This window comes from Homo sapiens, chromosome 5, assembly GCF_000001405.40.
Source record: "Homo sapiens chromosome 5, GRCh38.p14 Primary Assembly".
NCBI classification, from domain to species: Eukaryota; Metazoa; Chordata; class Mammalia; order Primates; family Hominidae; genus Homo; species Homo sapiens.
The window spans coordinates 116,647,176-116,662,550 of NC_000005.10; the positions used below are offsets into that span (position 1 = coordinate 116,647,176).

At 40.4% G+C, this 15,375-nt stretch overlaps 4 annotated features.

Annotated features, from left to right (window-relative positions):
* Positions 5,158-5,452: a silencer, noted in NCBI's record as "tiled region #8609; K562 Repressive non-DNase unmatched - State 24:Quies". NCBI's record gives its function as "weakly represses a minimal TATA promoter and a strong SV40 promoter by Sharpr-MPRA in K562 cells {active_cell/tissue: K562}" and the evidence as "EXISTENCE:reporter gene assay evidence [ECO:0000049][PMID:27701403]".
* Positions 5,158-5,452: an enhancer, noted in NCBI's record as "tiled region #8609; HepG2 Activating DNase unmatched - State 5:Enh". NCBI's record gives its function as "activates a minimal TATA promoter and a strong SV40 promoter by Sharpr-MPRA in HepG2 cells {active_cell/tissue: HepG2}" and the evidence as "EXISTENCE:reporter gene assay evidence [ECO:0000049][PMID:27701403]".
* Positions 5,387-5,436: an enhancer, noted in NCBI's record as "active region_22947". NCBI's record gives its function as "activates an Ori minimal core promoter by ATAC-STARR-seq in GM12878 lymphoblastoid cells {active_cell/tissue: GM12878}" and the evidence as "EXISTENCE:reporter gene assay evidence [ECO:0000049][PMID:35858748]".
* Positions 13,626-14,126: an enhancer, noted in NCBI's record as "H3K27ac hESC enhancer chr5:115996497-115996997 (GRCh37/hg19 assembly coordinates)". NCBI's record gives its function as "activates a minimal SCP1, AML or CMV promoter by ChIP-STARR-seq in primed H9 embryonic stem cells {active_cell/tissue: H9 hESC(primed)}" and the evidence as "EXISTENCE:reporter gene assay evidence [ECO:0000049][PMID:30033119]".

A 15,375-nucleotide genomic window follows, 5' to 3' on the forward strand; every position in this document is an offset into this window, starting at 1 on the left:
GAGGACCCTGTCATAGAGTGTACTTACATACGTAGATGGTATAGCCTATTACACACCCAGGCTATATGGTATATGCCTATTGCTCCTAGGATATAAACTATTACTGTACTGAATACTTCAGAGAATTGTAATACAATGGTAAGTATTTGTGTATCTAAACATATCGAGGCATAGAAGAGGTACAGTAAAAATATGGTGTTATAATCTCATGGGACCAGCATCATATATGGAGTCTGTTGTTGACTGAAACATTGTTATGGGCACATGACTATATATGATTTTTATAATTTACTTTTAAAACTAATTTTTGTTGTCACAACACTCATGCTTTTATTTTTTCCTTTAATTGTTTAAACTTTTGTTGACTTACCAAACCAAAGGGGAGAAATTTTTTTTTTTTTTTTTTTTTTTTTTTGAGAAGGAGTCTTGCTCTGTTGCCCAGGCTGGAGTGCACTGGCACAATCTCGGCTCACTGCAAGCTCCGCCACCCGGGTTCACGCCATTCTTCTGCCTCAGCCACCCGAGTACCTGGGACTACAGGCGCCCGCCACCATGCCCGGCTAATTTTTTGTATTTTTAGTAGAGACGGGGTTTCACCGTGTTAGCCAGGATGGTCTCGATTTCCTGACCTTGTGATCCACCCGCCTCGGCCTCCCAAAGTGCTGGGATTACAGGCATGAGCCACCGCGCCTGGCCGCAAAGGGGAGAAATTTTAAGTATGGTGGCTGTATACTTATTATTGGCTCATTTATCCTGGGCTATTCTGGCTTTTCTTGTGCAGTTGATTAACAGGTAATCAAACGGTTTGATTTCCGTGATTTCCTCTGTCTACCTCCCTGTGACTGCACAGATCTGTTCGTGTTGCCAGGCTGATTTTATAGTCAGGGTGCTCTGTTTGCATGTCTCTGGGACCAACAGTAGCCAACTCAAGGAAAAACCAGGAACAAAAAGAGGCTGCTTTTTTGGGATTTACTGCAAAGTAGTAGGAGAGTTTATGGAATCAAAGAAAAGGATGAAGGACTAGACCTGGGCAAGAAGAGAACCAGAGCAGCTCCAGGAATATAGGAGACAGAAAAAGTCTCTTCCAAGTCCTATCCTGGAGGCAAATGATCTCCAGCTGTTCTAGGGCTGCACGTATTCTGCTCACAGCTCACATTCCAATGAAGTGTGACTAGGGAGTGTGGGTCCCTTGATGAAGCTCCCTGCAGGTCTGCATCCAGTGGAAGAAATTTCCCAAAATAAAAACTGTACCTTTTTTTTTTTTTTTTTTTTTTTTTGAGATGGAGTTTTGCTCTTGTTGCCCAGGCTGGAGTGCAATGGTGCAATCTTGGCTCACTGCAACCTCCGCCTTCTAGGTTCAAGTGATTCTCCTGCCTCAGCCTCCTGAAAGTAGCTGGGATTACAGGCATGTACCACCATGCCTGGCTAATTTTGTATTTTTAGTAGAGACGGGGTTCCTCCATGTTGTTCAGGCTAGTTTTGAACTCCCGACCTCAGGTGATCCACCCACCTTGGCCTCCCAAATTGCTGGGATTACAGGCTTGAGCCACTGTGCCTGGCCAAAACGGTACCTTTTAACATCAGAAGGGAAATGGAAGTTAGGCAGCCCAAACAACAGATGTATAGTCTACCATTAGTTCCTGCAGTCATCTAAATGGCCGGTAGCAGATTGGATCTTAAAGGCATTTAGGACATTCATTCAATACAAGTGCATCTTTTAACTAGCGATATATCTTATTTAAAAAAATCATCTTCATACCTACATTTGGAAAAGAATTATTATTTTTAAAAACAGCTTCATATTCATTAGCTGCTACTATACTTAAAAACTTGTTGAGGTAGATAGAAACAGAATTAACATGCCCTCTTCTGAGTTGAAAACTGGAGGTGCTGGATATTCAAGGCACTTGTCCCAGGTCACACTGATGCCTTAAAATTATAATCAGGGCTCCAGCTGAGTTTCCTTATGTATAGTTTCTGCACCTCCTGCCCCATCTAAAAAAGTCTCAGCATATATTAGGAAGCTGCATGACAGAAAGAACAGTGCTTTGGAAAGGTGAGATTCAAGTTTGGCTTCAACATCTGTGAGCTGGATGGTCTGCTTACCTGAGGCCTCCTGGCTGTCTCTCTCCCATGGATGACAAAAGAATAAGATGGCATAATAGATAAGACTTTAGAAAGTGTCACACAATTGTGAAATGTTATGATTTTCCTCATTCACACTCTAAATTCTCCTTATATGTGTAGGCATTTAGTGACATTATCATTGACTACTACACCATCTGCTAGTTGAGCATGTGAGCAGTATCAATGCAAGGTGTATTCTCTATGCTTATCAATATGGTTGAAATCAATGAACTCAGTGCTTCAAACCTGAATCACATTTTCTTCAATTTGTGTTGTTGCTACCTGCTAAGAATGCAGTAGTAAAGGTGTTCAATTTCCAAAGAATAATTAAGCAAGGACACTGTGTCCCATCTTTGATGAAATGCAGATTTCACATTAAAATCAGATCCTTCATTTTTAAAGGTTGAATAGAATAACACCTAAAAAAAGAATTCCAACTGGTTAAATTTAGGCTTCTGAAAAAAAAAAGTTTAATGTAAGATTATTCTTGGTACAGAAACATTTTCGCTTGGCTGTGAATTGGATACATTTGAAAATCATTTTAAGCTCTTGCTTTTGGAATTGTGTGTGATCAGGGAGATCATCAAACAAATGTCAATAGGCATGGTAGACTCAGTAACACTGCTTCCCTCATTCTAATGAGCTATTTTATGAGAATAGGTTAAGGTAGTTTCTGCTTTGGAAAAGGGGGTCTTCTGATTGCAGGTATGTTTGCAGTGATTGGTCACAAAAGGCTGATAGTATTATTGTAGGTGTTGGCCTCCCCATTCAAGCTTGGCTCACTCCAGCGCCTGGAACAGACACTTGTCTTGCTTATTTAAAACTTATCTACCTATCCCTATGAATCTGAAGTACCATATGGCACATGTAGCCTTTTCAAGAGACATGCCAACTGATGTCTCTGTTGCATATCTTATGCATATAATTATAATAATAGATTAGATTTAATGAACTTATTCTATGTACCAGATACCTGGCTGATCACTATACATATTTATTTTTACCTCGTGCCATGAACATAGAAATCATTGAAGAAGATAAAGTGACTTACCTGGCCATTTTATGGCCATTTAGCACCTATAAACTTGGCCATCGCTGGCTTAGAGGAGGAAAAAAATATTTAAAAAAAAACATTTTTTCTTCAAACATAGAAATTTTTGTTTTCTTGCTGCTTTGCCAAAGAAAGAGCTCTAAACAAAAAACGAGGATAGTTCTTTCCCATCCTATCCTGTTGCGTTATCATCTCCCAGATTGGATGAAGAGGGTAAAGACTCATGCCAGCCCCTCTAATGCCTCAAACCCTGTGTGCTGTAATAGACTCAAAACAGGAAAGAAAGGAGAACAGTTCTCATCCCTGTCCCATGCCACTCCTGCCAGACAGAACTGTTGGCATATGCCCAACTGGGCAGGCGGCCCTTTTTGTGACTCTTTCCTTTGGCTACCCGCGAAACCTGGTCATGGCGTCAGCCTTGGAGGACCTTTCCCGGAGAGCCATGAAGCCACTAGGCTGCCTTCCCTGCTGTGGGCCTTGGGGCTTCAGTCATGGCTCTGTTGACAGGAGAGTAGCTGAATTATAATAATAACCTTTCCTTCCACCTCACGGGGGTGTCGTTAGCATGAGATGACATAATAGATGTAAAAGTTTTTTTGAACAGTATAAAAATATAAGTCAAAATAATAAAAGAACGAAGAGCATTATGATTACAATGATGTCAGAGTGCTCCATCCCAGGATCGTTTGAGCTGTCAATGACAGAACAAATTCTCTCTGCAGGCCCCAGGGTTTTCACTCAAGGTTTTAGCAGATTTGTCTAAAACTAGCCACTCTCTTAGTCAGAGAAACAGAAGAATGGAAAAAGTTCAGTGAGCTGCTATTTGGGGCCAGATACTACCCCAAAGTTTCTCTCACACATATACACACACATTTGCATATCCACAGGTACGTAAGACATACACATAGGAAACATGTAAATGTTGACAGAGGGGAAAAATATAATCCAGATGTAGTGGCAACTTCTCTGCGCCTATAGATCTGGGTCAGATTATCTTAAGCCCCAACTCTGCAGCAGGCATAGCACCCCTAAGTCTTTCCAAAATTTCTGCAGTTTCCCCAGGTGTCTAGTGGTTATGCCAGCTTTTATGGTTTCTGTCCTTGGGTTTCCATTTCTTACAGGCAGCAGACTCTGCTGCCTAACATGGACAACACAGAGAAGCTCAGGCTTTGATTTCAACAATCAACATAATCCGTCCCAAATATACTAGTAGATTTTGCTGGAATGAATAGGAGTTAAGTGGATGTGCAGGTGGGATTGAATTTACACAGCAACAGTGAGGTTTATGTGGCAACACTGATCAGTTCAGGAGGTACAATCCATGCTGAAATGTCTGTTGATCACCCCTTTCCAGGGGGTATTGAGAGCCTTTCTCCAAGCGCCTGCTCTTCTCCCTGTTCCTCCTCACTTCTCCCCACGCCCCACATTCCTAATCCCACATCCCATATCCCCATTTTAGAAGCCAATAACTGGTTTTCTTTCCCTGTCTCAAGCAGAACAACCCTCCCAATCCCTGAGTGGTGGGTGGGGCTACTTCTGTTCCACGGATGCTCTTTCAAAAACTGAAGGAGGCTTCCCAAGTGAATCTAGACAATAAATTGTCTTTGCCTCCTTCCACAAGTGTGAAATAATTACATATTACCCAAATCCTGCAGCCCATCAGGGCTGAACACAGATTACAAAATCATATTCAATACTGTTTAACAGTAACTTTAAATGGATCACTCACTGAAATCTTGAGGTTTAAACACAATCGTTTTGAAAATCTAGCTGAGCTCTATGTTGCTCTGTTATTCTGCTGAGAGAAGGAGGGGAGACGGGTTTATTCCTGTCAGTAAAAAAAAAAAAAAAAAAAAAAAAAAGATGAACTGTGTAAAAATAATGTAAGGGGAACACCCACTATTCCTGTCCCTTCTCAAATGTCACGTCACATTGATCCTGGTGAGCCAGGAAGTCACTTAATGCATTCTTTAAAAAGTCAGACTGTCCAGGGAAAGGACACCTTCTTTCACTTCCAATCAGCCAACCCATCACTCCTTTCCTCCATTTGTAAGTCTGTGGAGTAACTTAAAAGGCATGAGTCATGTTCTGAAAATCAAACATGCGCATGCAGAGCATGCAAAATGAACCGCGGAGAGAGTCGGCATTAGAGACACAATGCGGCCTTTGTGAAACATGACAACATCCCTGGGGACCGAGGCTTCTGAGTGTTGCTGAACTGAGGAGAGTAATAACAGGGTCCAGGGTTTGCCAGAGAGTGTGTCATAACATGGAGATTTTAGGAAAAGTGTGGAGTCCCTTTAATCAGCTCTGAGAGGAGCTTGCTAATAGTGCCTTTTTGTCAGTTGTTTATGTGGTGGGTGGGTCAACATCAGAACTTTACCCTTTTATTGTTATGAAAATTTGTAGACTGTTTATCTATTTTCTTTCCCTTTTCCAAGGAAACATTTGCAAAATGTTAATTACAGAGATTCTAGCTTTACCTTTCCTGAAAGATGAATTCTGAAACATTACTTTTACTTGGGATCACCTCTCTTAATTGGGGGACTTTAGTTTCAATGACTTTGCCTGTCACTCTGAGCAGGGTTTGTGCTCCAAAGGAATCTCTTGGGATCTACCATTTGTCTGGGAGACAGGGATATTATTTTGGGCTGTGAAGTCTGTTTGCTAAAAAAAGTGCTGGGAGGATACCAACCACACACAAATGTAGGAATTTCTACTTGTTAAGCCTTTCCGTCTGCAGGGGAGTTGTTGCATTATTTCTTACAGCTGTTGTTCAGTGAGAGAGTAGTACGTTTGAGTCTCTGATCTCATCTCCCAAAGTTTATTGTGAAACTTTCATATGAGCACCTGTGTTCCTGGATTACAAAATGACACCATTAGGCAATTCTTATTGTCGTGGATAATTGCCATAGAAAGGGGAATAGGATAGAGGACTAGAAAAAAGAATGAAAGTAAACACTTATGGGGAATATTGTGCTTTAGAAAAAGGCATTGCAATGTAATAGCATGATGATTTTAATCCCAGATTCATAGTGATTTAATGAAATAAGCAGCATCCATAGGCTCAAAACATATGTTTACAGAGGTAGATGGAATAGCAGATATTTCTGTTGTAGTGATTTTTTTGTGTCCAAAGTGTATCTTCAAAAGGCATATAGTCCTTTGAGTTCTGAAAATACCAATAGTTTTCTTTTTATGCTCGTTGTGTTTAGCACTCATTGTTTTATCTTGGAAGACACTTTCTATTTCTATGTACAGCCATCATAGTAGGATTTACATTTCAGCCGGCAGCAATCCCTAAGACTATAGAAAAGCTGGAAGGAATAAGAAGACTTCTTATTTTAGCTATCATAGATGATGATTGGGTTCATAAAGGACTTAAGATATAATGATAGGGAAAATTCATAACCTAATGCTTTCAAGTCAATTTCATGTTCCGCTTTTAATTAGAATCAGCCTTCTCTCTTTTTCATTTGCTATGTAACATACCTTTCCTTAATTTCTGGGGGGAAAACCCTCTCGAAACAGGGGTGAAAACTGTTGATTTAGAATCATGTCATAAAATAGAACTAAAGGAAAGGGGTGAACTGACTGCCTCAGACTGAAACAGAGCTCTTCAGGGTTGATCCCACTGATTGTACTGTTGATGGCAGAGAGAGAGCAAGGCAAACACAAAATTGTTAATGTGGCAACTAACACAATCCTAACCATAAATACTTGCCAAAGCCGGAATGCAGAATTTCAATGAACCCACCTAGTCTTTTATCCCACTGACATAATTTAAATCATGGGGCTGGTTTCCACACATGACTAGAAACCCCACCTCAGTGTGGTTTTCAATATAATGTTCACCTCATCATATATTGATTTCCAAATCTTTGGTCCCTAACTTTTCTTTACAAGGCTTTGGTTTTCTCCAATTACAGAATCTTGTTTAATTTATGCATGTAATTCTCAATGTTTCTTTGAGTACAGACCTCAGAAAGTGTTAGTGAATAAAAAGATTCAGCAATTGCAGTTTAACATTGTCCTGTCCCGAGCTCTTGAATTCTACTTCCTTCAGTCTTCATTTACCCCTACACTAGGATACAGTGGCCACTTTTTCCCCATGAACTTCTTCATGTTTTTTGACTTAAAGAAAAACTCTTATTTTTTGGTATTTTTTCAAATTTGAAGAAGGAGATTAGAAGATTCTGATGTTATTCTAAATGAATGTTAAAAAAAAAAAAAAAAGCCCAGCTCTCAGAAATGAAGGTAATATAGAACTGAATAAAAACCAAAACACAGTTTGAATAAATAAAATTCACCAGATTTTTTTCTTGGATATCAGCCTTTTTATGATTTTGGGCGCCTAGTCACTGAAAAGCTTTGTTCATTTTTTTTTTTTAAACATAGTAACATATATAGATATTGCAGTAGCTAATTGCAATTATTCACCCTAGACAAAGACAAAAAAATGAGTTTTTGTTTTTCTAATTTCTTAGCTTGTGTGCAAAGTTGCCATTCCAGATGGGGCCCATTATGTGATGTTGTATTTCAAAGGGAAACATTTCTTAAAGTTGCTGAAAAAAATGTTTATTAAGGAAATAAGAGCTGCTGAAGCAAAGACACGTGTTATCTATTTCGTCAATTAGTGGCAAAATTCTGGTAGTATTCCTAAAGAGCTGCAGGGGTTCTAATTGAAATATTCTAATCCTTCCTCTTCCCAACCCACCGAATACCATTGTCAGTAGGGGGAAAGAATCATAGAATTAAATTCTAGGTAAAACCATTTCTGATTTTGTAGCAATGAGAAAGGGTTGCACTATTTTTGGTTCTTGCATCATTTATTAGAAGTTTTTCTCAGTAGGACAGCAAGCAATTATCTGAAGCAGCTGGGTTATGTGAAGGACTGATCACATGTTATAACACACAGAGGAATTAAGGATTATGGAAAGATGAACAATGTAATTATGCTCATGGAGTGTCACTTATTAATTTTAAGGTGAGATTTGTAATAATTTCATAATAGCTATAACAGTCGGAGCAAATGTCTGGATTTGTAAGGGTCTCCAAGGTTTAAAATTGGTTCATAAATTTAATTTTGTTAAAATGTGGTTCCAGTTGCTAGAAAGTTTTTGTTTCAAGGAGAATGAAATCCTGCAAGCGATGAAGGCAAAATCTAAAGCTTAAAGTTCTTGTTTTAACAACTTTTATTCATCGCAACTCCATTTCCTTCCTGGGTTAGTGTAGAGATGGATTCATAAAGGATAGCTCACAACTATCTTGTATTTCCTATGAGTAATTGTGCAAAGGTGAAAAGATGACATAATCACAGCAATTAACTTCTTTTCTGGCTCCACTATGGTAATTATTAAGAAACATCACTTGTGGGAAGCCCAGCAATCACCCCAAAATCAGGGCTACCTCTGCTTTTCCGAAGTACCTTCCCTAATCTGTTTAGTATAGTTTCTCTCTGTTACACTTTTAATTGCCTCTTTCACTCTCTTTATTCCAGTTTTCTTATTAACATTATTGCTAATTAGGAATCTAAAGTAGGCCGCCTTTTCAAAACAGAAATGACGACCGTTTCTTTTCCAGGTAAGTGGGTGGTATTTGCAGCAAGCAATTAAAATGCACTTTACCCAATTAAAAAAAAAAGACTAATGATAACAATAGTTAAAAAACAACATCACAAAATGACGGTGAAAAACTTAAGTGATCTCGAAATTAAGCTATGTTAGTCAGCTGTTATGTGACCAGAAAATAATGCGTTACAGATAACACAGTTTTCTAAGCAGTGGTTGTTTGGCCATCTGACATAAAGTAAAAAATGAAAGAAAATAAAATCATAATTCTCCCAAGTCTATTATATTTTTAAATTTTTTACAGCTACTAGATAGCTATAGGGTTTTAATTTTCATTTTTGAGTATTTTTTTTTCCAAATGGAAATAGCTTTATTTTTTTTAGCCTATCAATGTAATGGGTACTCACTATTAATAATTCAAATAAAGTAAAAATTACCCCAAATCCCCAGTGAAAAACTGCTAAAATTTAGTGTCTATATTTACAGTACTTTTTATTTGACATATGAGTGTAGAAAACAGGTACAAATAAATGCAAATATATTTTAGTAAAAATTCATTTATTCAACAATATTTATGGAACACCTACTATGAACATGCAATAGAAAACCATAGTGAGCAAAACAGACATGGTCCTTTTACCCGTGGTGCCTACCAGCCTACCACAGGATAGAGATATGAATTAAAGAATCTTAAAACTGAATATAGTATCACAAATGTGGCAACTGCTACGAAGGAGGGGCACACAGTATAAGACCTTATATTAGGGGAAAGAGACTTCATCGGGGATGTCAAGGGAGATTTTTCTGAGAAAGTTATTATACTGGGTGTGGATTTCAAGGAAGAGTCAGAGGACAGATAGTACCTAGAAAAAGATGAGGATGAGGGGAAAGAAGGGATCTAGAGCAGCTGAGCTTTCCAGGCAGACGAAGCTGCTTGATTAAAGGTTTTCTGAGAGGAGAGAGCCTGTGCATTTGAGAAAGAAAGGCTAACATCCAGAGAATACGTTTGTCACATTAGAAGACAAGCCCAGAGTGGTGGATAGAAAGCAACACCTCAAAGAGCCTTGTGATTCTGCTGGGAACATGGTTCTCAACCTTAAGAGTAAGGGAAAGCAGTGACTGAAGGATGGAAGTAATATGTGTTTCATTAAGTTTCAGTGTGGAGGACTGATGGAGAGGGGCAAAATGCACGCAAGGGAATCCAGTTGAAGGCTATAATGGGTGAAGGGGAAGAGAGATGATGGCAGCATGAACTAGCGTCGGGGTGGTGGAGTTGGAGATTCAAGAACATGGCAATGAATTTTATGTGAGGAATAAGAGAGGTGTCTTTAAAACCTTTTGCTTTTTTGACTATAATGCTATTTTTTTTTTCTTATTGATTCACAGGATCTATTTGTCTATTTATATATTGTGGCTGGCTATTATTCCTTTTTTTTGTTATATGTGCCACATATTTTTTTTTGGTTTATTTTTTGTCTTTGAATTCTGTTTATGTTTTTTTTTCCATCGAGAGTTTGTTTTGCACAGTTTTGTCAATTTATTCCTCTTTGAGATTTTTGTGTCTCCTAATAATGCTTTTATGATAATATTTATTTGGGTTTTAAAAATCTATTTGAAATCTATTTTGGGGTTTAAACTCATATTTTCTAAATGGGTAAACAATTGTATTTATACATTTATCATTCATTACTCACTAATTTGAAATAAACTTACACACATGCAGACACACTCGCACACATGCATACATATAGCAGGTATTTGGTAAGTTATTCTAGTCCATCGTTCTGGCTGACTTTTCCTGTCTTAATTATGCACTGTTTTAATCAGGATAGCTTTATAGTATATATTCTTTACTCTTCTTGTGTGTTTTCTACAGAAATCTGGAGACCCAGCTTGTCAGCTCCGTAAAAGGAACTGTTGAGATTTTACCTGATATTGCACTAGATTTATAGATTAATTTGGAAAGAATCGACAGTTTTTACAAAACTGGGTCTTCCTAGATAGCAAGGTGATATGTCTCTTCATCAAAGTCTTCTTTTACGTCCTTCAGTAGAGTTTTACGATTTTATCCATATAGGTCTGAAGGCAAAAGTATTTTGTTTGCTTTAAATTATCTTGCAGTTTCCTACTTCTTGACTTCAGTCAAGTGTGCATAAATAAACCCATCTTTTCTGTTGAAAATATTTAGGCTGATAATTTTGAGGTTTGTATACAGCAGATAATTAAGATATCTCCCCTCTCCAAAAGGTTTGCCATTTGTTCCAGGCAGGAGCATGTGAGGAAGGTAATTTTTTTTTCTCTTGGAATTAATGCCTTTATGGAGAATTTCAAACCAACCTCTCTTTGCAAGTAAAGGCTTGCCTTCTCTAGTACAAAGTTTAATGTGGGCAGGAAATATGTATCTATGGCTGTATATCTACATCTTTAGAGACACACTCTATGATGATTTGGAAATATTCCAGTATACTTCCTCTGCTGATACATGTTCAAGTTCCCACTGAAAAATTACTCATTTTCACCCTTGTATGTTTATCTGCTTGCTGGTCTTTCTCTTGCCTGCTACCTCTTGGATTCATTGAAGGGTTAAGACAGTCCAGCCATAAGCCCTTAAGCAGTGACCCTAAAGTTTATCTTGTATGTTTTTGAAAGACATTCTCTTCTTTGCCGCCTCCTGCCGAGATAAAGAAGGAAGTTATTATTAGATGTTATAGTTGATAATGCACATAGAAGTATGCAAAAAAAAATCAAAGACTTCAAACATATTTATCTGTTTAACGGATTCAGCATTCCTTGTTCAAACAGCTTTGCTTAAAATTGTTCATTCAGCCTCCAAGTTAAGCTTGTGTCTGGTAGCCACAACTTGATTTAAGTTAGAGGCACGGTGAATTCCCTGAGAGAGCTGGCAGGGACAAAACTGAGTTTTCTCAACCTTTTCATTTCCTCCCTATTTGTCCTCAGACTCTACAATTTTGCTTGCATGTGAAGCTCCATCAATGATGCTCATGTCTTCATTTCATAGCTGTAGCCTGGGCTCTGCAATGGTGATGGCTTGCAGTTTACTATCTATTTCATTTGGGGTTAATACTTTCCTGTTATACTTATTGTTCAGCCCCACTCTCCTGCCTGGTACTGTAATACACTGCTTTCAGTATTCTCATGGGATCGCACAAGTCTGCCATCACTAGCTTGATTTTTAACAGGAAACTAGGACAACAAGAGCCTTGAGAAAGTGAATATGAGAAATGTATGCTTCTGTCTAGGGACATTAGTGCAAAATGAAAACAACACTATCTTCTATTGCTTGCTTCTGCCACCCCATTTTCACCAGTACATAACTAGAGCCCTTCCCTGCACTATTGGCATGAACAAAGAAAAATGGCTTCAGCTATCGGGGGCTGCACTTTGAGATGTGAAATATCACTTTCCTTGTAAACATATAATTGTCACCTGCTGGCTGCTTTCTTTCCTTCCACTCAATACTCAACTCTAAGCAAATTCTTGGTTCAAAGAGCAAACCTTGAGCCAAGAATAAATAAACCTATTATTATTATTATTATTAACAAATGACATTTTAAAAGAAAAACTCAGGAAACCTAGTGGCAGATAAATATTAACAACTCCTTCATGCATTAATTGAACTTAAGTGGATAACCAGTAAAGCTTTGTGGGAACCAGGTCCAAGTAGAGCTGGTCTTTGGGGAAGGGACTTCTGGTTCTTTCCAGACCTGGTTAATGATGCTCCAGTTAATAGTGACAAATTAATGGGACTATAAACAGGATTTGGGGGCTCCTAGGGAAGAAGAACATTTAAGTGAGAACCATAAATTTTCACTACTCTAAAGAAAGAAAGTACAGAAAGCCAGATATGATTTCTACTTTACCAGTGAGATAATGTCAGGTATCTGGTTTCTAGCTTTCTTTGCTGAGTCTCTCTTATGTTTCTCCACTGCAGTTAGCCAGTTGCTCTTGCTGACACCCCTTTCTTTACCCTGGGTCTTTGCTAATATAGTTCCCTGCCCTCAGATGCCTTCTCCTCCCATCCTGTATTGACAAGGATAGACATTTAGTTATTTCCAAAATTCTATTCTCTTCTTTCATAATAATAGACTTTGGGGTTGGCACATGGTTGCTGACCAAGAAACTACATTTCCCAAGCTCCTTTGAAGCTAAGATTTTGGATATAAATTAGATTCCACCAATAGAAGTTCTCTGAAGAGATTTAGAAGAAGAAAGACAGGGGCTTCTTTTGTATTCTGGCTATCTTCACTGGCCAACAAGATTGTGGGTTTCATGTGTCAGCTGCCAGTCTTCCTGATTGTCAAGGGGCAGTCCAGAAGCAGTGGTGGTGGTAGTCACATGTTGATCTGGTCTCTAATTCCTGAAAAAAGCACCTCATGTCCATTCTCTGACCTCCAGCTGCAGCAGGGACCTCAGACTAGACTGCTGTGGTTCTAGTTGTGGCTCTGAGTTGGCAGCTCCTCTACTAGGCTGGTTCTGGGTTGTTCTGAGAGTCATTCCATGACTCTCACCATTTCAGTGGCTTTGTTTTGTTTCCTGAAATGGCCCTATAGCAAATAACATTAGTTATATGCACCTTCATAGAATTTGAGGGCAGGAACATATTCACTGTTCTGAATAAAGCTGGCATATAATAGGCCCTCTCACAGGGAATGAACAGATTCCATATGGCAGGCATTGTGCAGGGCACTTCACCTACATCCTTTCCTTGAATCACGCCAACAACCCTAGGAGGTAGGCATCACTGATGGCAGTGGTAGCTGGTCTGGAGAGGCCGCTGGCATGACACTGGCTGCAGTGGGGAGGTGTGCCTGGGGCAGTGTGCTCCATGGAGCAAGCAGGAGCCTGAGACAGGCAAAAGCCCCTCTTTCTTCCAAGTTGGAGGGGTGGGAGCCCCGCCCTTCTAGGTGCAGCTGGAGCCACTCAGCCCTGGCTGCAGACCTGGGCATTTCTGCACTCTTGGGGGCCTGAGAAGTCTCCCTGTCCTCATAGGCTCGGAAATGCCTTCTCTTGCTGACTGGCCTGTCCCGCTGCCTGTCCTGTCCCTGGTCTGGGTGCCTGTTCCAATTTCAGAGCAAAGTTGTGATTGAGCTCGGGTGCTGTCACTATCCGGCCAGGTATGTACACACTTGGGACAGCCCTGACATACCAAGCCCCTGTTGCCTCAGCACCCTCCAGACTTTGGACACCAACAAACACTGGAGGGAGGCTTGGGAGAGGGACTAAGGGCAGCTTGGCATGGGTCCGTAGGCACCTCTTGGTGCAAATAGCCTGGGCATTGTGGGCACTGTAGACAGCAGGTTAATGGCAGCAGAAGGCAGACAGGCTTCTGGGCAGAAAGCAGTGGGTTCCAAGTGAAACCCCTGCTTCAGGCCAGGCATGGCCTGAGGCCTGGGGGCTGGGCTGCCAGTTCCACAGACTAGAGTGAGAACTTACAGTGCTTTTTCCAGACCTGCCTATGGCCACCCACAAACCAATCAATATTCACTTTCTCTCCTCTGAAGACCATAAAAACCCCAGACTCAGCCAGACTCAGGCAAACAATGGGACAGCCTGCCTGAAGAGAGGAGCTACCCACTGTGGTGTCCTCTGAGCTGTTCTGTCACTCAATAAAGCACCTCTTCACCTTGCTCACCCTCCACTTGTCCGCATACCTCATTCTTCCTGGACATGGGACAAGAACTTGGAACCTGCTGAATGGCAGGGCTGAAAGAGCTGTAACACGAACAGGGATAAAACATGCCCCTTGCTTGCCATGTTGCAGGCAACAAGAAGGAGAGAAGAAGAGAAGAGCTGCAGCCCTTCAGGGAGTCCAGACCCAGGAGCTCCCTGAGCCATGGCTGTGGCACCCTCTTAGGGGACCTGCGGTTCGTGGTGTCTCCAAGCTTCTAGGCACCACTGTGCTTCCTGGTGCCAGCCATGGAAGTTGTTTGTGATATGCCTGTTCCAGCCACACCCTCACAGGGAGCTGGCGCCCACTCTGGACCCCACACTTGCTTGCTCACACACCCACCGCTGCTCTATGCCTGGCTTGCCTTTGGCAAGTGTGGGAACCAAGTTGGTAGCATGAGCTGAGTGCAGCCTGCCAGGCCAAGTGGGCAGAACAAGCCCCATGGGCCCAAGCAAAACTCAGGCAAAGGTGCCACCTGCCACAGAGAGTTTTGGCCAGGAAAGCAACACCCGAAGGATCCTGTGACATCACCACTATTTTACTGAGGTCCAATCTCTGCAGTGAGGGTCAGGGTGTTCAATAACTTGCCTAAGGCCACAGAGCTAAGAAGCGAAGTCCCATTCTTCCTGTAAACCTTCTCTATCATTCCAGCTATGAGCAGAAAATGATTAAAAGTCAAAACTAAATGTTGCTGACTAGATTTTAACATAATTTATTTCATTTTCAAATGGGGAAAGTGAGGCTGAAAGAGGAAAATCTTATTTCTTTGACTCTTCATTGTAAACTCTCTGTTCTTCAATGCTGAATTAGACTACGACCCCTGAATTCACTGTGGAATTTTATGCCTCTCGCCCCACCACCCTCATTCTACTCTAAGGAGGAGTAGATGCTATGAATCAGTCCCTTCTAAGGACTAACAGTGGCTGAAGATTACACTA